The sequence below is a fragment of the Homo sapiens genome, chromosome 12 (genome assembly GCF_000001405.40).
Source record: "Homo sapiens chromosome 12, GRCh38.p14 Primary Assembly".
Taxonomy (NCBI): domain Eukaryota; kingdom Metazoa; phylum Chordata; class Mammalia; order Primates; family Hominidae; genus Homo; species Homo sapiens.
The window spans coordinates 105,198,933-105,221,610 of record NC_000012.12 but is presented as its reverse complement, the minus strand read 5'-3'; the positions used below and the strand labels follow the sequence as shown (position 1 = coordinate 105,221,610).

Below are 22,678 nucleotides of genomic sequence, written 5' to 3'. Positions count from 1 at the left end.
CTACCACTAGAAAAGTGTGGGACTTAGGTTCATATCTATGGGCCCTACAGGTCCTGCCCACCTGAGTATTGAGTAGGTGCAATTTTGGACTTTAGATTGGAATAGCATAATAGTCAGAACATGAGCTTTTGATTTCGAGTCCTGCATTAAGTTGTTGCCTGCCAGTCACTAGTCATGTGGCTTTAGAAAGTTATTTATCCTTTCTGAAGCTTAGTCTCCACGTTTACAAAATGGAAATAATAATAGTATCTACTTCATGGGTGCACTGTGAGGATTAAATGTGATAATATATGAAAAACATTTAACAGCAACATCAAGCACTTAGGGCAGACTCAGGGTTAGCAGCTATCTTTATTGATGTTATTGCTAATATTTACTCCTCACTCGGGCTCCAGTTTTGCAAGTCCTGTTGTAGAGATATTTTTGCAGGCCTACCTCACAGGGCACAGGGCGTGGATTAATTAGCTGATGTTGGTAAAGCATTTCTTACAACCTTTGTGTACAGTAGCTTAAGTATGAGTAAGATTAAAGTTGATCTCTTTTGAAAGACTTTTCACACAATGTGCTCTGTTCAGGGCAGGTGACAGGCTGTGTTGTAAGCATGTTGGTTTCCGATGAACTCATACTGGCTGCACAGAATCATAGTTGGTCTTGCACCCTGAAATATTACACATAGGAAAACACGCAGCATTTTCAAATGGTATTCCTAGGAGAGACCCAGAGAGTCTGGTTGTTCGAAGTCGTTTTGGAAGGCAGCTGTTGTGTGTTGCACGCTGTGCCCCTTCTTCCCTGAGCGGAGGTGGAGCTGTGTGGCTGTGTGAGTGGCACATGAGTGCTCTCCCCTTGAGCTTTGGGTACAGCCTGATGCTGGCAGTTCCCTGGCAGGTCTTTCCATTACATTCGGAGCATTTGCCAGTAAGCTCTGAGGAAGAACTTGAGTGGCCCATGGTCCCTGCTTGTTTGGAAGGCCTGGAGGGTGGTTATATGTGTTGACCAGTCTCTGAAGGAGGCATATATGGGGAAGTAACATATTAGAGTTGACTAAAATAAAGAAAAGAATGAATTAGAAGAGTAGAAGCTCCTGGGATCTGAAATGGTGTAGCTTAAGAGAGCCTCCTGCAGAGGGTGTGGCAAAAGAATGGGTCTTTGAGACATCTGATGACAAAGCAGGATCAGTAATCCATGGCTCTTGGGCCAGCATCTTATTTTTGTAAATAAAGTTATATCAGAATGAAGCCACATTTACTTGTTTATATGTTATTTCTGGCTTCTTTTGTGCTACAAAGCAGAGTTGAATAGTTGTGGCAAAGACCATATATGGCCCACAAGCCTAAAATATTTACTCTCTGGCTCCTTACAGAAAAAGTTTGCCCACCCTAGTGTAAAGCAGAGGCCTTCTCCTCTCCTGCCTTGTGGTAGAACTTGGGATCTCAGTAGCATTTAGGAGTGTGGATTTTAGAATCGGACAGCTCCAGGTTCACATCCCAGCCCTGCCACTCATCAGCCGTGTATCCTTGCACAGGTGGCTTAATCTCTCAGTGCTTCAGTTTCTTCATCTATAAAATAGAGTTATTAATTAGAACCTGCTTTTACAGGGTCATTGGAATTAGATGAGGTCGTGCACAGAATGCATTTAGCATAGGGTCTGGCATGAATGAAGCCCTCTGTAAATGTTAGCTGCTGTTACAATGATTCTGTGGGTCTGCAAATCATGTTCCACATGGTGCTGCCCTCAGGAACATGCCAAGATAGCTTGAATGAATCCATCTGCTGCTAACTCAGAAAGAAGGAGCACGAGATTTTCAGTCATAGCTGAGTATCAGCCCAGTGAGTGAGATAAGACCTTTGTTTCCATGCACTCTGATCTTCAAAACAACACTGCTAAAGATGGTTGACAGGTAGTAGTCTCTGGCCAATTGCTTTGTATTTTATTTCATTTGTGATGTTTCCTTGTACAGTTAGGAAGGATTTTAAAACCCTTACACCATGATTTCAGGTATTGTTTTAAACTTGGAATTTAGATGAATCTTCTAATCTTGTTCATTCATTCATTCATCAAACATTTGTTGAGGGCTTGCTGTGTGCTAAGAATTGTTGGACGTTCCTATCTGAATGAAGGACATTGTGCTTGTGGCTTTGTCCACTTGCTGACTTCCTGACTATGTGGCTAGAAGTCACATTTCTGGTTAGTTTTGAAAGGGGTTGAATACCAGTAGGATGTCAGAGCCAGGCACTTTTGTTGTATTTGTCTGACTTTCTTCTGAGGAAAAAGAGCCACGTTTCCTGGTCTATTAATGCCTATTCCTTAGGGCAGAGCAGGAAGTCAGGGAACAGGTTGGCCAGTTGTCTGCGAAGAGGGTCAAAAAAAGGTAGGACTTGGCTCTACTGTATTCTGCCAAATAGGACTGGGAAAAATAAAATAAGCTCCTGCAGAGCTCAGGACTTAGCCTTAAAGGAACAACAACCCCAGGAGAAATAGCCAGTGGAGGCCAAGGCCAAGGAGGTAGGCCAGTGTCCTCCCATCATCTGTGCCATGTCAGACCCAGTGGCTCTGCTCCTTAGGAATAAACCCTGAATCTTAAGCTTTAACTGAGCTTTAGAAATGTAAGGCAAGTTTTCTAGGCTGCCCACATCAGTGGTAGGAGGATAGTGGTAGAAAACCGCTGTGTAGCCAGAGATTAGAGGAATAAACAAGAGGAGAGGAAAATGAGCAGTACGGGCTGGTGAAAATGGCACAAAACAGGCCTCCCAGGGCATCGCAGCTCTTGAAGAGCAGTGTTTCCTCTGGTTTTCTGGGATACTTGGGTTTAGCTGTGCTTCTGTTACCATCCATCATTGCCAGCGAGTGTTCTAAGCCTGGTGGAATCTGACCTTGTCATATGCTGCTTCAGTCCCCACTGTGCTTCCAGTATGTGTGAGCCTGGGCCCCGGGGGCCTGCACACCTTCCCACTGCCTCATTCCCAGCCTGATATCACCTCCAAGCGCACAGCTCTTGCCCCAGCCACGCTCCACTTCAGAGCTGTTCAGACAGGCAGTGCATTTCTTCCACGTGTTGGCGCCTCCTGGAAAGCTCGTCCCCATGGCTGACTCCTAGTTTGTCTTCAGAACATCTGTTCCCTGGAGACTGTCTGTCAGAGCCTCCCAACACAGCCAGTATTTTTCTTTTGCAGTTCTCATCACACTTGTAACTATTTTTTTGATGCGTGCTTCCCTGAAAAGCCCCATGAGGACAGGGACTGTGCCCTTGTTGAATGTCTGGCACATTATAATTGCTCACTACATTTCTTTATGGACTGACTGACCAGAAGGAGCAGTCATTTGTAAAGGGTTAAAAAATAAAATAGCAAGCTTTAACCTTTTGATTTGTTTTGGTATTGTTTTCCAAATGTCTGAACAAAACATTTTATTATTTGACAGGCACACACATATGCTTTCTTCTTCTTTTTTCTTTTAGCTCCATATGGTGGAAAGGGATTTTTTTTTCTTTTATAATTTTTTTTTAGAGACAAGGTCTCACTCTGTCACCCAGGCTAGAATGCAGTGGCACAATGATGGCTTACTGCAGCCTCAACCTCCTGGGCTTAAGGGGTCCTCCCATCTTAGCCTCCTGAATAGCTGGGACTACAGGTGCATGCCATCCTGCCTGGATAATTAAAAATGTTTTTATTTTGCAGAGATGGAGTTTTGCTGTGTTGCCTAGTCTGGTCTCAAACTCCTGGTCTCAAGTGATCTTCCTGCCTCAATCTCCCAAAGTACTAGGATTATAGGTGTGCACCACTGGACCCAGCCAATATTACTTTTTAAGGGATTCTCAGAGATGGCATTTTTCAGTGACTATGTATACATTGGACTAATCTTACTTGCTTTTTCTCTTCTCTCCACAGAATGAGATGTGCCTGGCCACACAACAGCTTTCTAAGCAACTGCTGGCATATGAAAAACAGGTAACTTGGTATTTATGTGGCCTGTGATGCTGCTGTGTTCAGGACTTTCTTAAGTGGAATTATCCAGAGGCATCCTTAGAGACCTAAATTATTTGTTTCATTTTCTTCATAGTTTTTTTGTCCTGTCTTTTCCCTTCCACTGATGTATTGAAATCAGTGATTATCCCAAAGTCTTTATGAGGTATTCTAATTAGCCTCTAGAAGTAATTAACTGCCATTGAGGGTTCCAAGTCTCCAAGGAACTACAAGTGAATCAACATTAGCAATTCCAGGAAATAAACACTCAAATAAAGTCAAAAAATATGTTTGACAGAAAGGAATGGCCAGGGAGGGTCAGATGAGTGCACCCTGGGGGCAGGACAAAGGGGATAGCTGTGACTCCCTCTTCAGGTAGACACTTCTGATAGGACGTGCTCTTGGAGAAGAAAGGACGTCGGTGTGGAGGGTCGTGTTCTGCAGGTGATGCTTCGTGCTGAATTCCCCAGTATTCACTTAACACCTGCTTCTTTTATTCTTTGGTCTTAGAACTTTGCTCTTGGCAAAGGTGATGAAGAAGTAATTTCAACACTCCACTATTTTTCCAAAGTGGTGGATGAGGTAAGATAGCAACATAGAAAATTTGTATTTGATTCTTTCTCGAACTTTCTTTTGTTGTTATTTTGGCCCACTTTCCATTTTTAAATTTCTACTTAAATATCTGAGAAGGTATCTCAACTTCTTGATCTTACAAAGCTCCTTTCCTAGGAGAGGTTATACACTAACTATTAATGTTTGTTTCTGGTTTGAGGGGAATGGCTTCGATATATATGAAGAATAGACCAAAAGAAAGATTTCTGAGAATTCGGTTTCTAAAGGAGAGTATATTAGTTTCTCAGATTGCCATAGTAAATTACCATGAATATGTAGCTTCAAACAACAGAACTTTATTCCCTCCCAGTGTGCTGTAGGCCAGAAGGCTGAAGTCAAGGTGCTGGCAGGGCCACACTGCTTCCGTTGGCTCCGGGGAGAATCCTCGTGCATCTTTTGGTGGCTCCAGGTGTTCCTTGGCTGTGGCAGCATCACTCCAGTCTGGCTTTACATCCCCTCTACCCCCCATGTTTTTCCTCTTCTGTGTCTTCTCTTTTTATACAGGCACTTGGCATTGGATTTAGTGACAATCCAGGATGATCTCATTTCAGGATCCTTCATTACATCTGCAAAGACTCTTTTTTTCAAATATTCACATGTTCTGGGTGGTCATATCTTTTAGGGGAGGGTCACAGTTCAACCCACTACAAAGGGTTTATTTTTATATTTTTTTCTCATTTTTTAATTTTGTAGGGATGGCCTCTTGCTTTGTTGCCCAGGCTGGCCTCAAACTGTGGCCTCAAAGGATCCTCCTGTCTAAGCCTCCCAAAGTGCTGGGGTTACAGACATGGGCCACCATGCCTAGCTTACTACAAAGGGTTTAATACAACTGTTCTTATAGCTATATTTTACAGTACATTTGGAATATTTGTAAAAAACGAAACCAGGTATTATAGGAAAAGTGCATAAATTCTAATTGTAAAAAACATAAGAGCTCAGATGCTACTAGTGCTGGACAGAACTCTGCAAAATTAGGTAGATATAAATAGTTCCATCTTTTTTTGTTGTTTATAAGACGGAGTCTCGCTCTGTTTCCCAGGCTGGAGTGCAGTGGCGCAATCTCGGCTCACTGCAAGCTCCACCTCCCGGGTTCACACCATTCTCCTGGCTCAGCCTCCCGAGTAGCTGGGACTACGCCCGGCTAATTTTTTGTATTTTTAGTAGGGTTTCACCCTACTAAAAATCTTGGCCAGGATGGTCTCGGTCTTCTGACCTTGTGATCCGCCCACCTCGGCATCCCAAAGTGCTGAGATTACAGGCATGAGCCACCGCGCCTGGCCAAATAGTTCCATCTTTTAAGGAGTTTGAATACTCAAAAAATCATGATAAAGAATAAACATAAAGGAGTGTGCAGATGCCATTTAACTGACCAGTTATTGATCTGCAGTAGATACTGTCTTCAGTTTACAAAATGAGAAACTAACATTCATATAAAACTGTACTGATTGCATTTTCGTTTATTCAACAAACCAGTTCAACAAGCCATTATTTATTCAACAAACATTTATTGATGACCTCCTATTTAGCAGACGCTGTTCTAGGCACGGGGGATGTAAAAGTGAACACGTCATATGATTTTTATTGGGCTTTGTCCTCTACCCTACTAAACAGTAGGAAAAAGACAAACTCATTCTCTTTCTATACTTTCAGCACTCAGCACACTTTGGTCACCAAAATGTGTGGGTTTTCCCCACATCAAGCAATTCTGTGACACTAACTGGCTGTCCTACAATTTAACTCAATTCTGACATATCTACCTGGAGATAGCCTCAGATCCCACAAGTTAAGGGCATGATCCCGCCAGACTACCCCCTCCCCCACACTTCAGATGCCAATTGCAAGTCTAGGCCTCTGGTACTTCTGACAAACGAGCTATAAACTAGGGGTTCCTGCAACATCCCCCTGGGATTTGATTATTTTCTAGAATGGCCCACAAATCAGGGAAACACTTAAATTTACCTTTATTATAAAGGATATTACAGAGGACACAGATGAACAGCCAGATTAAGTGATACATAGGGCAAGGTACAGGGGAGGCGGCGTGGAACTTCCGTGCCCTCTCTGGGGACGTCACCCCTCTGGGCTCTGCCAGGTGTTTTAATGACCTGGAAGCTCTCCAAACCCTGCAGTTCAGGTATTTTTATTGGCAGCTTCATCACATAGATGTGATCAACCTCCAGCTCTCTCCCGTTCCTGGAAGATGGGGGCGGGGCTAAAAGCTCCAAGCTCATAATCGTGGTTTGGTGTTTCTGGTGACCAGCCCCTATCCTGGAGGCCACCAGGAGTTGCCTCATCAGAACAAAAGACACTCCCATCATCCAGGAAATTCCAAAGGATTAGGATCTCTGTGTCAGAAACTGGGGTCAAAGACCAAGTATTATAACAAAATATGCTCCTAGCACTTCTATTGATGAGGAAATTACAAGGGTTTTCAGAGCTCTATGCCAAGAACTGGGGGCAAAGACCAAATACATATTTTTTATTATATCATGATATCACATGCACTGCGTGGCTCTCTCTCAGATGTGTTGAAATGGATAAAAGATACATAGAAGATGTGATTATAGAGGAGCAAAAGTGATTTTTGGAAGGTTGGGGAAGAGTTTTCCTTAATGAACAGTAGAAAGATAACCCAGGGCGAGAAGCAATAGACTACACTCCTGAGTCACATGTTTGCTTGAGAAGAGAGTTGCTAAGGAAACGCGGTTAGTTGTCGAAACCCCAGAAGCAAGATTTCCAGTTTAAAATATTTACTTACAACCACGTTGTCATGGGCAGGAATGATGATTGTTTTAGTAGGGAGTGAATAGTTCCCAAAGGATGGAAGTATGGTTTTTATTTTTTTATTTTTTGAGACAGAGTTTTGCTCTTATTGCCCAGGCTGGAGTGCAATGGCACGATCTTGGCTCACCGCAACCTCTGCCTCCCGGGTTTAAGCAACTCTCCTGCCTCAGCCTTTCCAAGCAGCTGGGATTACAGGCATGCACCACCACGCCCGGCCAATTTTGTATTTTTAGTAGAGACGGGGTTTCTCCATGTTGGTCAGGCTGGTCTTGAACTCCTGACGTCAGTGATCTGCCCGCCTCAGCCTCCCAAAGTGCTGAGATTACAGGTGTGAGCCACCACGCCCAGCCAGAAGTGTGGTTGTTACAGGTAGTATCATGGCACCCTGGAAGAGTTAGCTCTGCAAGGAGTTTTCAAACAAACCTTTTGATGTAAAGACCCAGAAAGTGATAGCAGTTAGCCCAGGTGGGGCCTAAATCTGGGAAGAGGGGAGTAGCTGTTCTCTCTACCTGGGCCTAAACCAGGTTGAAAAAATTTTAAGGCAAGTTATTTGACTCAGAAATTACAGGAAAGTTCAACAAAAAGTAGAAATTTATGTGGCTTACACCTGATAGAATGCGTTGGAATGAGATCTTCCATGTTATAAGTCACACAGAGATTTCCACGCATGGTGATTTCCCTAAAAGCAGAGTTTCTGGACCACTTCTTTTGAGTGCACCTGAGACAGGATGTCATTGTCATTAGAGTCCACTGATTGAAGACCGAGCATATATGCCAGGCACTCTGCTCTGAGTGTGTCCTGTTCATGTCACTGTCTTGTCCTCACATGCCTTAGCCATGCAAGGAAGATGCTGTTGTCCCCATTTTCTATATGGTGATGCTAAAGTTGTGAGAGGTGATGCATTCCCCTTCCATTCTCCTGAGTGAAGGTGCTCTGGTTAGCAGTGATTATCCTGTACAACTCACAGCTCAAAAGCCCCATGTTAAAAGCTGATGACATAACCCCCTTAATTCTTGGGGAGAAAATGAGTAGCTGGGAAATGTACCATTTCTGTAGTGCATAACCATTGGAAAGACACTTAATCTTTCTGAGTTTTGGTTTCTCCATCTTATATGGCATCAGCAAGGCCCACTTAATTGGGCTATTATATTGATTGAATTAAATAATGTCTCTCAAAGCGTCAAGCACAGAGCCTGTTAACTGTTAATGAAAAACAGTACCTTTCTTATAGAAGTTATTCTGGAAAAGTAGTCATCACATTCTGTTCTGAAGGCATTTACTGGCATGGCTGTCTTCCTGTGTTACCCTCAAATACAGCTGCCATGCTTTGACTTGGTTGAGCGATAGGGAAAGTGTTAGCAGTTTGCCCCGGTGCTTCCTTGCCTGGCAAATGGTTGACCTTAGGCAAGTCTTTAAGCTTGTAAGAGTGGCCTCTGAAGCCACAGCCTCGAAGGACCAGATCTGTTGGGAGATGCGTGTGCAGAAGGTTGATGAATATGCGTGACTGCCAGCACTGCTAAAAGAAACTTTGCCACATGTTGAATCCAAAAGTGATTGCTGGGTGATTTCCCCTTAGTCACCCAGCAGGAATCCCAAAATATCTGGAAGTCTGTGGTCTAGTGGGAAGATCCCTTCCACTGTATTCATTGCCAACGTCTAGATTCCCAAACGTGAGCATAAAGGACAAATTCTGTATCCCAGGCTATGTAGTGGAAAGTAAACGAATCTTAGATCTCACCAGCCCCAGATTAAAAGCCCAGCTATGCTGTTTATTTGCCCTCTGGATTTGGAGAGCTATTTGCATGTCTGTAAAGTGGTGATGATAAATAATACCTAACTCACAGAATGGGTGAGAACTACTTAGTATTGAGCGTATAAAGCTGGCATGCAAAAAGTACTCAAAAATGCACTGATAGGGATAATTTTTATTTCTCCTAGATAATTTACAAAGATAGAATTTACTCAGTCCTTGAGGTAGAAGGGGAGAAAGAGTCAAGGGCTGTTAAAATCATCTGGTGAGGAGCATCACATCCAAATGCAGTTATCTTATTCTCAGGTCCTTTTCTAGACTAAAGGTCTGAAATCTGGCAGAGTTGTTTTGGTAGGAAGTATTCTTTTTTTTTTTTTTTTTTTTTGAGATGGAGTCTCGCTCTGTCACCCAGGCTGAACTGCAGTGGTGCGATCTCGGCTCACTGCAAGCTCCACCTCCCGGGTTCACACCATTCTCCTGCCTCAGCCTCCCACATAGCTGGGACTACAGGTGCCCGCCACCATGCTGGCTAATTTTTTGTATTTTTAGTAGAGACAGGATTTCACTGTGCTAGCAAGGATGGTCTCGATCTCCTGACCTCATGATCCGCCTGCCTCAGCCTCCCAAAGTGCTGGGATTACAGGCGTGAGCTACCACGCCTAGCCGTTAGGGAGTATTCTTTCTCCAGAGTCACTTCCAGGCCCATAGCTGGCCGTGGTTTTCAGGCGAGTAGGTTTCCAGCAGGCCCATCTTTCAGGCGTGGCTTCAGCCTCCCTGGAGAGTGAGAGAGTCGAGCAGCCTGGCGAGGTCCTGAGCCATGACAGCACTGACAGCTGGCTGTGTTCTCTGCAGGCACATCCAGGCATTAGGATTCTCCAGTGGGGTGGGGCCCAGAGTGGGAACACAGAAGAAGCAGAGTCTGCCCAGTGAACAGGGTAACTGTGGGCCCAGACACTCTGTTAGCAAGCTTCATTGGTGCCCTGGTCAGTTAGAACCTTGCATTTCATTTTTCATGCTTCTAGGCCAATATCATTTACTGCTTTATGAAGGGTACTTACTTGCTGAGGAAGTCTGCCTGAGCTCTGTGACCACACGGAAGTGTTCAGTGTGATTCCTTGGTGAAATGAGACTATGTCAATAATAATAATGTATTTAATTTACTTGAATACCATTCTCTTTCTTTCAGCTTAATCTTCTCCATACAGAGCTGGCTAAACAGTTGGCAGACACAATGGTTCTACCTATCATACAATTCCGAGAAAAGGATCTCACAGGTAAAGTAACTGAGTTCAATGCCAGTTACCTTCAAAATATTGTGTAATGCATTTCATAATAATTCTTACTGCATTTCTTTCAATGTGTGGATCGCTGAGAAATGCCTTTCTTTTTGAGCAGTTCAATTCAGTGAACTTTTACTGACTTCCCACTGTGTTCCCGGCTCACCTAAAGGAGATCACAGGCCAGTGAGAAGACAGGTGTGGAAACAGATCGTTGTAATGTCATTTGCTGAGGGTAGCAGGACAGAGACGCACAGGAGTAGAAACAGCACACAGAAAGGCGTGCTAGGGACGGCTTCCTGAAGAAGGTGATCTCTGAGCTGGGTTTTGAAAAATGACATTAAGGCTGTGTTCCAGATTAGGGGACATTTGTAAAGTCATGCTGTTCTTGGGGGAACCGTGAATGCTTTGGAATGGAAAGCGGGGTTTGGAGAAAGGGGAAGACGGGATAGGAACCATGCATTCTCTGTGCTAGACTCTGGGGATGCAGCTGTGAACGATGGATGGGGACTGCTCTTATGGAACTACCAGTTAGTGAGTAAGGGAATCTGTGAGTCAGTCAGAAAACTTAGTTGTCCTTTTGGACTAATTTTGGTTCTTCAACTAAAATAAAGCGTTAGGACAATTTTATATTTCTTAGAAATCAAAGTAGTCACAAAATGCACATAAAAAAGCGTGAATAATCTTGAAAAAACTTCGCTGATGTTAGAAAAGGGACTCCACATTTTCTAGTCCTATTGTCTCTTCATTGGAAGTATTTATTACTTAGAGTTTAAGAATTACATTTTCTAGAACACTGATATAAACAAGTTGCTGGCCCCAAAAAAGCCTAAACCTGAATGCTAAAAGATCTGGTCAGTATATTACTTACTCTTTAAAAATATATCACTTTAAGCTTTTTTTGCGGCGGGGGTTGGGGCGGAGAAGGTTGCAGTAAATCTAAAGACAAGTCTTAAAGGTAAAGATTGGCCGGGCACAGTGGCTCACGCCTGTAATCCCAGCACTTTGGGAGGCTGAGGCGGGCGGATCACTAGGTCAGGAGATCGAGACCATCCTGGCTAACACGGCGAAACCTCGTCTCTACTAAAACTATAAAAAATTAGCCGGGCATGGTGGCGCATGCCTGTAGTCCCAGCTACTCGGGAGGCTGAGGCAGGAGAATCGCTTGAACCCGGGAGGTGGAGGTTGCAGTGAGCCGAGATCGCGCCACTGCATTTCAGCCCAGGCGACAGAGCGAGACTCCGTCTCAAAAAAAAAAAAGGGTGAAGATTTTCCTCCCTTGCTTTGAGATCCCCTGTGTTGGTGTCACCTGAGGCTAAGGAACAAGGATAGAACTGGCATAAACTCTACCTAAGGTCAGTTTGGCAGCACTAAAACTTAATAAATAAAAAATAACAAGTAATGCCTCCATTTGCTTGCATAAAGGGAAACCTTGATTAAACAAAGCAGGAATTTTAGTGCTTTTTAGTGTTGCTCATCTGTCATTGCATAGGAAGCTAAAACATGCTTGCCTCAGTCATCTGCTGATGATTGTGTCCTCACTGAATGCCTTAGTGGGTGCATTTTTTTGAAGGGTTTTCTCTAAATAAAATCATTAGAAGTGAACGGGATGTCATTTTAAAAACAAACTCCAAGTCTGTTTGAAAGAAAATAATCATCTCCTAAGACCTATGTTGTCAGATTTATGTCTTTCAGGTTTGCTTATGGGAGGCAGAACTAGAATTGAGAGTGCCCAGCAGCATTAATGACAGTGGCCTCCATTAATCCAGAGTGACCCCAAATGTGGATGAGTAGTATTTGCCCAGGATGGTGATTTTTTTTAAGTGGAATAAAACTGCTCGTTAGTAGTAAGAAGGAATCTTCTTAGTATCTTTGAAAAAGGTTAAACATCCTTTTCTGATGCCATCAGGACCTCACTTTGAAGTATTTGGCCCCAGGTCATACCTGAGTCAACATCAGACCAAATTAGAATCTGATCTCCCCTCTGCCTAGACAGTGGTGTTTTATCTTACATTTCTCGGCCTTTATTCACTCACCAACACAAGTACATAATCTGAATGAAGAGAACGCAAGAGATATTAAGGAAACTACTTAAAATTGATAAGTAAAGAAACCTAAAACTTGACTCCAACAGGAAATAAAAGATGGGAGAGAAAGAAAGAAAAATGCAAGCAGGAAAGGGCAGAAAGTAGCCTGATACCAAAAGAGTATGAATAACGCGAAGAGCATTTAAAAGCTGGAGGCAGTTTGGAGGCAAATTGAAAACTAGTATAACCAACATAGATGTGAATGGCTTTGCTTTGTTTGATAAAATGAAAATGGATTGTTGTAGAATTGTAGAAAGTGTCACTTTCTTTTAGGTATCAATCGTTGGGTTTTTAAGTTTCTAACCTTGGACGGTCACTGCTCTCAATGATCTTTTTGGATTTTTGGTCTTGGGCTTGGTTCAGCCATCTCTGTGCATGATGGGTGTGGCACTCACTCGGAGTAATAGTTATTGGTGTTGGCTTGTCGCAACTACAGTATGCTAGATCGTGTCACGTTTTTCATTAGTACAAGCACCGCGTATTCCTTTGTCCAGGGATGACTCCAGTAAGTCAGATATTAAAATGGCAACACAGGAAGCTTTTAGGTTCTGGGTGTAGAAAGATGTATTAAGACACTCTATCTGGGGGCTGAGGCATCAGAACTTAAGTTTATACTCCAGGTCTCCATGAAAAGTACCTGTCCACCACACTGTCCAGCCCACCTCCCCGGCGTGCCCTCTCCCTCACAGACCCTCAGCGCTATGTGGAGAGGCAGGGCTGCTCAGGCCATCAGGGTCACTGGGTGTGGGGCATGGTTGAAGCCGTATGTTCCAGTGAGCCCAGGTCCCAGCCTCTGGGCCAGCCTGTGAGAGCCAGGGACTGAGGGTGCAGGGGCTTCCCTTGCACGCATATTCTCTTATTTTCAGGGGAAAGTGCAGAGCTCTGGGTTGGCATGTTTTATTTTTCATTGCTCTAAGACGGTCCCTTTTCTCCTTTTCAGAAGTAAGCACTTTAAAGGATCTATTTGGACTCGCTAGCAATGGTAGGCACCTTCTCCATTCCTGGTGTGTGGGTGTGTGGGCTTACTGTGGCGGGGAGGAGACCCCCAATGAATGTTCTTCCCTTTCGACCCTGACCCTCCTGGGTGTTCAGATGTCTGTTTATTTTTAGAGCATGACCTCTCAATGGCAAAATACAGCAGGCTGCCTAAGAAAAAGGAGAATGAGAAGGTAAGAATACTTTACATGTTGTTTTTCACTTCATTTACATAAAGGCCTTTCATGCCTTCCTCTTGTGAATTTATGGCATGAAAGGGTGCGTGGTTATTTTTTTTTTTAACTATACATGGACTTTTAAAATTGTTCATTCCAAATCTCATAAGTAGACCTCCACTTCTCTATTCTATCTTTTCAAACTGGTTTATTAAACACCAGCTTAGAGCCACTGTAAGATTATGATCACACAGGGGTTTTAACTTCAGCTTGCTGCCTCGTCTGACTCATTTATCACCCAGGTCACTTGAACTCCTTGCCCCAAGTGTTGACTCTGATTCTTTAACCCATGCTTTCTAGGACCTTCGCTACTCTAGATAATATTGACTATTTTCATGCATATAACTTTTTACTTCTGTTACATGATTTCCTTGGGCTAAATTATTTCCTTGGCATACAGTCTTATGAGTGAACTAGAATGTCTGCAGCCTTCTTCAGTACATGCTGCCATATTGTTATCCTGAAGGACTGTAGGACTTTGCACTGCTCCCAGGAGGGTACAGGCTTCACCTCACCGCGGCCTCACAAGCACTGAGATGCTGTTTCTTGCATATTTTTAATTTGGATTTTTTAGAAAGTTGAAGTGCAGCCTTATCTGTGTTTTGTTATATTTGTCACAAAAATGGTTATAATGCATAAACACACATTTTGAAGCACACGCTTTTACAGAATTGTCACGTACAGTAGACAACTTGAAGTTTTCCTTTCACCTTTTAACCAGGTGAAGACCGAAGTCGGAAAAGAGGTGGCCGCGGCCCGGCGGAAGCAGCACCTCTCCTCCCTTCAGTACTACTGTGCCCTCAACGCGCTGCAGTACAGAAAGCAAATGGCCATGATGGAGCCCATGATAGGCTTTGCCCATGGACAGGTAGGGGAGTCCCTCCCTGAGGGCTGAAACCTAAGCTAGCTGTGGCGTTCTGCTGAGAGGGCACGCAGGAGACACTGAAGCATCGTCGTAGAAAGAAACATAAATGCACAATCTCCCTGGCTACTTTGTGGGATTCAGCACTTGGACAGCTTCCAGTTGAGCTGGGTCATCTTCAGCTGGACATGCATTGGCCTCAAGTTAGGCCATATGTTCAGGAAATGAGGCCTGGGTCCCAAGCCTCTCTTGGGGAAGAGCCTGTGTGGCCCTTTTTTTCTAATCCGAATGAAAGCCAGCTGGGTGCAGTTCTCCTAGAAGCAGCTACCACTGGGGTTGGGATAGCTTGCCTGTCACCCAGGATTCCCGGCACTCCTTGCTGCCTGTAGTAAGGCCCCCGCTCTGCTGGCTCCTCAGGTGCACCTCTCCTAGATGATCCCAGCACCTTAACATCTGGGCATGGGGAAACGTTGCCAGTGCTTTATGAGGTCTCCTTTACTTATTGGGTTTCTATCCTCCTATTTAATGGTTGGCTGAATATTTGTCTTAAGAGAGGCTCTACTTTGAGGATGGGGAGTTGACTGTAGTGGCACCAGTGCGGCGGAGACGAGTGACCGTGAGTGTGAGGCTGATGGCACCACCCCCTCACTTTCCACCCCATCCTGCGTTTGCCCCACTCACGTTGTCTCCAAAGCCATCCTTTGGCCCGTGAGAAAGGCACCCAGGAATCTTCTCTCAGTTGACAATCTAGGAACAGAAGGGGATGCGAGGAAGCAAAATGTTATTAAGAAAAAGTCACCAACTTAAAAATACCTGATATATGAACATCTAATACTTCTATAATACATTTTTAAGGCACATATATTAAAAAACAAAAACTTCACGTCAGTGTCATTCAACAAAAAGGGGAATGAGAGAGGAGCTTTAACCCATTTCCTGTTTAGAGAAAAAAAGTGCAGCTCACTGCCAGAACAGTACTCTCAGGGCAAATGGGAAATGGGTTCGGAAGATATCCAAGCTCAGTTGTCTTCCTTGTTAATCTAGTTGTTAGGCTGTTGAATGGTGAGTTCACTGAAGTCAGCCTGTGCCTTTGGAAGTGATACTTAAATAGAGCGATAAAGTCTTTCTGTGTCTTCTGAGTGAAGTAGCACCACCCAGCTGTGGGCGGCATCAGTCCTCAGCAGATCTTGGGAGCTGTCCAGGTGCTTATGATGGGCACTTGTGCACACAGGTGTGCAGTAACTCATACTGTTGCCCTCCCCTCTCCTGCAGGCAGTATCACAGCTGGCAGATGGCCTTGCCATATTAGAGAATGCCGGGGCTCTCTTTGTTCTCTTTAGTTAACCCCTCCTGGATTGACGCCATCCCTCTGGGGCCGTAGCCTTGCTCAGTCAGAGGCCTAGGGTCGGGAAGGGTCTCAGATCTAGCATCTTGGAAGGATGATCAGCTCTGGTCCTGATCGGTCAGTGCTGTAGAACTTGCTTGATAAGAGGGTGTCCTGCAAGGCCTACAGGACAAGCTTGACACCAGCTGGTTTCATTCTCATTCATGGCCAAGGACTACCTCACTGCTCCCAGCCTGGACTCTCTTAAGTGAGTGCTCTGGCCACAGAGGGAGAAGAGGAGCTGTGGGTACCGTAGCACACATGTAGCCCCAGTTCTGGGGGAACAGCAGAGCACACCGTCATTATTCAGTGGCAGGAGCATCATTGTTGAGAGCTGAGAATGGCATCTTTCATTTTTCGTATCCAGATTTCAAGACACAAGACCAAGTAGGCCCTTTCCCTATGCATTATTTTTAAATGCAGATGGAAACAATAGCTCCTTCAATAGCCAGACAAGTTTGTTGCCTGGCACCGTGGAGTGATCTTCTGGATGATTCAGAAGCATTAGCTGTCCTCCTGCCTCATCCGACCTTGGCAATCAGGGTTTATTGAGCCCCAGCCTCTGTGAGCTGATTTTTCCATGAACATAGCACTTCCTGCTGCTCACTAAGGCAGTTGTGGTGGAGACTCATCAGGCTTCTCGGCACCACCCACCTTTGTGGAGGTGTGGGGACTCCATTCCTGCCTTCTCCAGCCCTTGAAGTCATGTTCGGTCCTCATGCCTGCAAACTGAGGCTCTGTAATCAGTGCGCAGGTTTTTGAGAACGGAACAGTGACCTCCAGTGTTACATTGACGGGACAGGCTGTGATGCGGCTGTAGAGCCAGTGTCTTACCTGCCTTCCGTTCATCCATTCGCCCACTTTTCTTAGGGATTATGTGAGCCCCTGCCCTAAGGAGATTACAGAATAGCAGAGGAGCTAAGACATGGCCTAGGAGTGTAAATTCCAAAGGAGTTCAGGGAGGGGAAGGAGAGGGAGGCCACCATGACATTGTGCCATTAGAAATGCAGAGTGCTGATTTAACAAATTAATGATATTAAATGATTAATACTCATTTTGATATTTAACACTTCAGAAGTTCCAAATGGCATTTCCAGTGGTGATCTCTGTATGATTTAAAGATCATGGGGCCAGAACAGTCCCCTGCATGTATCACCTGTGTTAGGATGACCACAATCATCCGTTTTTAACCTGTGATAACTAAGCACATTAGAATACATGCTTTCCCAGGGTATCTGGGGAATAGATGCAAAGCCGTCAGAACTATGCTGAGAATACCTGCTAGCCTCTTCAGGGTCAGAGGTCGATTTTGGTGCCCGCCATGCCAGGAAAGGGAGGCTTCCAGGTCAGACAGACGAGCCGGGTTAATGTGTGAGAGAATACCCTTGCTCACACGGAACGTTTTCTCTCTTTTTTCATCATCTAGGCTTGCAACTGTTACTGTTACCTCCCAACCAGCAGACATAGAAAATGGAGCAGTTCATACCTAATGGGCAGATTTGTAAAAGTCATGGCTGTAGAAGAATGCAAACTGGAGCTGCTCAGGGTGGGATGGTGCAGATGCCACTAATACACAGAAATGTTCTTCTTCCCCTCTCCCATACCCCTGCCCTCCAGGGTTTGTCAGGGGACCCAGACTTTCTGGGAAGTGAATATTAGACAGGAGTTACAGGAAGTAAGGAATCCCTTCCATTGGCACCCAAAAGCCAGCAACTGTGGTTTCAGTTTCAAAGTGCATAGTGCTCAGGTGTAGACTCAGTAGAGATGCTGCCAGTGCCGCGTGCGAGGCGGGCCAGCCAGCTGTGATGGCTGCCCTCACGCTGCCTGTCTCACCTTCAGTGAGTTCACTGATCACTTCCCTGGATGATTTTCAGAATATTATAATTATATCTTTCAGATTAACTTTTTTAAGAAGGGAGCAGAGATGTTTTCCAAACGTATGGACAGCTTTTTATCCTCCGTTGCAGACATGGTTCAAAGGTAATGCTGCACTCCGGCCGGGTCTTGTGTGCCCCTTGCCTTTCATGCTGATCTGACATCTCTGGGAGGTCACGGGGAGGGTTCTAACTGTGGAGGGTCGCACAGAGCCTCTGTCCACCCCAGAAATGCTCGCTAACAGTGCCCTTGCCTTAGCTGCCAATATTCATAAATATCTGGGGCACATTGGCAGAGTTTTCTCCAGATCTCTTGTTGTGAATATTGGAGTTTCACATGTCACAAGCCTGGGAACCCAGCTTAGCTTTGCTGTGGTTTTAGAAGAGCTCTTGACTTTCTTTGAGAGTACGTGGCAGTAGCAGATGGAAGTGCTGTCACTTTTCAGGAAACTCTGACCAGTGCATTAATTTATAATAGGTAAAGGAGGGATAGAGCCTTTTTGGAATTAATTTTAAAAACTGTATTTGCTTATTTTAAGAAATACAACATCACTGTCTTCAGTAGTTGAGTAACTGCCACACTAACTGGAGGCTGTGGGCGCCCTGCCACCCGCCCCTCCCCAGCTTCCATGACAGAGCTCTGAGGGGGGCCCCGGCCCCTGCAGCCTCAGGCTTGGTCCATCCGGAGCACAGCATGGGCTTCCCAAGCGCTTGCGACGAGTTCTGGAGTACAGAAATAGGTCCGTGTGTGTGTGTGTGTGTGTGTGTGTGTGTGTGTGTGTGTGTGTGTGTGTGTGTAGTTGACAAATAGACAAAATGGAAATAATGAATAGGAATTTTATTTCATGTGGATACACGAAGAGAAAGTTGCTCATTTTCTTGAAGATGTTGCATTTCACCACACCTCATGAAGGCTAAACAAGGGAATTGATCTAGGTAGAAGTCTATCTGAAATGCTCCAAAAATAATCAGTCCCAAGAAAAACCAGTGCTGAGCATTGAGACAGATGCAAAGCAAGTTGAGAGCATATACCCCTACCTGAAAGTCACTGAGCTGTTTAGCTCTGAATAATTGGCAGCAGTGAGTGATGTAGCTTTTATTTATAATTATGCTAGAAACCAACTTGTGAAATCTGATTGCAGTTTCTTGCCTTTTAATTTATTTGGTTCTTAGCCCCTGGGAATGTTAGGAGGAGGTAGAAGATGAGAGGCTATTAAATGGTCACTTTGTAAAAGTATCCTCTGTCCCTCATCTTTCACTGTCTCTTCCTCATCCTGCTTTAACTCTCAGAATTCCTCGCACTTCTGTGTTTCTGGAAGAACCATCTATGCCTCAATTTTTTTCACACACCTGATTATTTTCTGAATGGGTAGCAGGACATTTGTGCCCATGCGTGTGAGTTGCCATGGTTTCCTCTTTCTGCAGATCCTAGAGCCTCTGTCTTCCCTTCTTGTCAGCATTTCCATTAACCATTATTAGGCCAACCCAAGTATAGCACCAGCCATCCTGAGAGAACCACAACCCGGGCATTAACGTCAGGGTCTGCGCCCGGGCTACATGGCCTTCTCTGTGCAGGCTGGGGCTGGTTCTGTGAGTTACCCCCTCTGTCTGACAAGCTGTATTTAGTTATGGGGTGACAGGCAGCTGATGGGGTTTCCAAACTGAACCTTGCAGCACTTGATTCAGATAGCTAAAGTACTGTTTTGAATGCTATTTTTCCTGTAATTTTAAATTTCATGTTGGTGAGTAAATATGACCACTTTTCTCCAAACCAAGGGATGGTTTTGCTGCAGCATTGCCATGCATGAGCAGCCAGCCCACCCAGGGAGGCCTCAGAGCAGGATCTGGTGGTGGCCCTGAAGCTGTGCAGCCCTTCCCCGGGGGATGATGCCACAGGTGCTCTGTGCTTTCCAGGTGGGGGTGGATTCAGAACCCAGTGGTGGGAATCCAGACAGCGTGGCATGGTTTCCAGCCACCCTGCAGAGCTTTCTTTATTCCCTAACCCTATAGTGATACAGTTCTACCTTTCTGCGGCTCATATCTATATATCAACAGATATATATAATTTTATATATATGTGTGTGTGTATATATATACATGCTTTTTTTTGTTGTTTTATCTGTGAAGAGAACCAGTTGAAAGCAGTTAATTTTGACCCTGTTCCTTTGGTTCCTGGGAACCTTGGATGAGCTCCCAGTGTTTGAGCCTGAGTCTGTGTGGGGTGGGGGAGGGGAAGGCAGGGCAGCTACTAAAAATCTCCTGGAGTTGTACGCAAGAAGCCACGTTGGTGCCCGTGTCTTTCTGGGGACAGGATCCTTCTCTTGTATCACATCTTCAAAGAGGTTTCTCACCCATAAAAGCTGACCCTGAGCTCTTGACAGGCTCTTGGTCCCTCCTTCCCCTTCTCTCCTCCCCCGTTCTATGTGCTGAGCTTGGTCTTCCACGTTCCATTCTCTCAGCCGGGGCAGTGACAAGCAGGCGAAGCTAATGAGGTTTGTCCTCTAGCTTACCTGTCTTAAGGCCACCAATGGTAGAGTCCCTCATCATCCCAGTCAAATGTCAGAAAAGCCAAAATCGAGCTGCATTAAAGAAGAGGGGCTGACCAGGAGCAGTGGCTCACACCTGTAATCCCAGTACTTTGGGAGGCCAAGATGGGTGGGTCACTTGAGGCCAGGAGTTCAAGACCAGCCTGGCCAACATGGTGAAACCCCTTCTCTACTAAAAATACAAAAATGAGCTGGGTGTGGTGGTGCATGCCTGTAATCCCAGCTGTTTGGGAGGCTGAGGCATGGGAATCGCTTGAACCCAGGAGGCGGAGGTTGTAGTGAGCGAAGATCATGCCACTGCACTCCAGCCTGGGTGGCGGAGCAAGACTCTCTCAAAATGAATAGATTAGATAGATAGGATAGATAGATAGATAGATAGATAGATAGATAGATAGATACATACATACATACATACATACATACATACATACGTAGAGAGTGGGGGAATATGGAATGTCCAAGCCCAACGTTCCTTACCTCCAGAAGAGAGAGAATCCTGAGGTGCTCATGTGGAGAAACACTGGCCCCCTGTTTGCTTCTGATTTTAACCTTGTGGTTGCCGTGTCTCCTGTAACACAGTGCAGAGGAACACCTCCTCTAAATTGTGATTTCTCAGATGGATGGGCCCCGTTGGGCAGATTGTGTTTAGGACTTTGTAACCAAGACTGTCACTAGTGGGTGGGGTGGCCTGGTGCGGTCTAGCTCAGTAGGGGAAAAGGGCAGCCACCATTTCCACACCTCAGCACACACCTCCATGAAAGCCAGGGGCTAATGTCCCAGAGCCAGGCCATCCGCCCACTTACCCCTGTGTGGGCAGCCCTTGGCCTGCTAGCCTATGAAGCCTCAGGGCAGAACTATGGCTGTTAAAAAAGGAAAAGCATTGCCTTTGGCTTTGTTGTTGCACCTTAGTACCACTTCCTGGTCATTTTCCTGTCACCACCACTCCTGCCTAAACCAAGAGCAGGGGAGGCATGACTACCATTTCATTCCTTCCTTTATGGAACTTGCTTAGGCTGCCTGTGTGAGCAGCCCTGGAGGATGGGCTTCTCAAAGCTTTTCTCCAAAAATTTCCATCAACGGTGCTGAGCATGGATACCTCTGTCAGCAGCAAAACTGTTTAGCTGGGTTCAGCCGGGCGCGGTGGCTCACGCCTGTAATCCCAGCACTTTGGGAGGCCGAGGCAGGCGGATCACAAGGTCAGGAGATCGAGACCGTCCTGGCGAACACGGTGAAACCCCGTCTCTACTAAAAATACAAAAAAAAAAAAAAAAACAAAATTAGCCGGGCATGGTGGCGAGCGCCGGTAGTCCCAGCTACTCGAGAGGCTGAGGCAGGAGAATGGCATGAACCTGAGGGGCGGAGCTTGCAGTGAGAGGAGATCGCGCCACTGTACTCCAGCCTGGGCGACAGAGCGAGATTCCATCTCAAAAAAAAAATAAAAACAACAAAAAAAAAGACTGTGTAGCTGGGTTCAAGCATAGTTCAATGGCATTCCTTAGGTTCTGTTTTAAAACAGCAGTCATATAAACACATTTACTACTGCAAAATTGAGTCCCTGTGATTCATAGTTTTCAGGGCCTAAGGGTAGAGGGTTGTGGCCCTGTAGGAGGCTGGCAGCTCCATCTGTAAGGCCGGAAGCTTTGCGGGGGTGGAGTGATGGCTGCCAGTGGCTTCTTAGTAGTGCTGGGTTGGCCAGCAGTGAGTAACTGACCCAACACCTTCTGTCTTAAGCATTCAGGTAGAACTGGAAGCCGAGGCGGAAAAGATGCGGGTGTCCCAGCAAGAATTACTTTCTGTTGATGAATCTGTTTACACTCCAGACTCTGATGTGGCCGCACCACAGATCAACAGGAACCTCATCCAGAAGGCTGGTTACCTTAATCTTAGAAAGTGAGAACGCCACCGTCTGCCTCTTTTTCTGAAATCCGTTTTCCCTAAGAGGTGGCTGAAAAGCAATCTTACGTGCCTCATTAAAGTCAGAGGGAGGTGGGTGGGTGAGACTGGGAAGAACTCCCATCACAGCAGCCCTCCCACTTGCAACACAGGAAACCTCTGGGGCCCAGGCGCCAAACTGCACTAAGAGATGGGGCTGGAAACGAGTCCTCTAAGAGCCTGGTGCTGTGGACTCTGGTCACTGTGGCCATGTGCAAACAGACCACTCTTAACTGTTGCCGTCCTGGACCACTGACAGTTTTTATCCCCTCATGCCACTTCCCCCACACCAGCTGGCAGATGAGAGCCATGTGCTGGAGACCTACCTGCAAGGCCAGAGGCAAGGTCAGGAGGCTTTTAGAGTCAGTTCGATTCATACTGATTGAGTCACACATTTA

General features: G+C 45.4%; 1 protein-coding gene across 14 annotated transcripts in view, besides 2 other annotated features; it reads left to right on the top strand.

Moving 5' to 3' along the window:
- The window catches only part of APPL2 (adaptor protein, phosphotyrosine interacting with PH domain and leucine zipper 2), a 62,875-nt gene that overhangs the window by 14,564 nt on the left and 25,633 nt on the right, over positions 1-22,678 (top strand). For 8 of the 14 annotated variants that reach the window (XM_006719472.2, NM_001251904.2, XM_011538532.4 and 5 more), the window contains 8 exons: positions 3,886-3,945; positions 4,471-4,542; positions 10,294-10,381; positions 13,412-13,453; positions 13,564-13,640; positions 14,404-14,550; positions 17,826-17,908; positions 22,080-22,238. In XM_006719472.2, the coding sequence (XP_006719535.1) occupies positions 3,886-3,945; positions 4,471-4,542; positions 10,294-10,381; positions 13,412-13,453; positions 13,564-13,640; positions 14,404-14,550; positions 17,826-17,908; positions 22,080-22,238 (728 nt within the window). The remainder of the gene's footprint in view (positions 1-3,885; positions 3,946-4,470; positions 4,543-10,293; positions 10,382-13,411; positions 13,454-13,563; positions 13,641-14,403; positions 14,551-17,825; positions 17,909-22,079; positions 22,239-22,678) is intronic. The other 6 variants (XM_017019554.2, NM_018171.5, XM_017019551.3 and 3 more) reach the window with 1 other exon arrangement.
- Positions 21,130-21,630: an enhancer, noted in NCBI's record as "H3K4me1 hESC enhancer chr12:105593759-105594259 (GRCh37/hg19 assembly coordinates)". NCBI's record gives its function as "activates a minimal SCP1, AML or CMV promoter by ChIP-STARR-seq in primed H9 embryonic stem cells {active_cell/tissue: H9 hESC(primed)}" and the evidence as "EXISTENCE:reporter gene assay evidence [ECO:0000049][PMID:30033119]".
- Positions 21,631-22,131: an enhancer, noted in NCBI's record as "H3K4me1 hESC enhancer chr12:105593258-105593758 (GRCh37/hg19 assembly coordinates)". NCBI's record gives its function as "activates a minimal SCP1, AML or CMV promoter by ChIP-STARR-seq in naive H9 embryonic stem cells {active_cell/tissue: H9 hESC(naive)}" and the evidence as "EXISTENCE:reporter gene assay evidence [ECO:0000049][PMID:30033119]".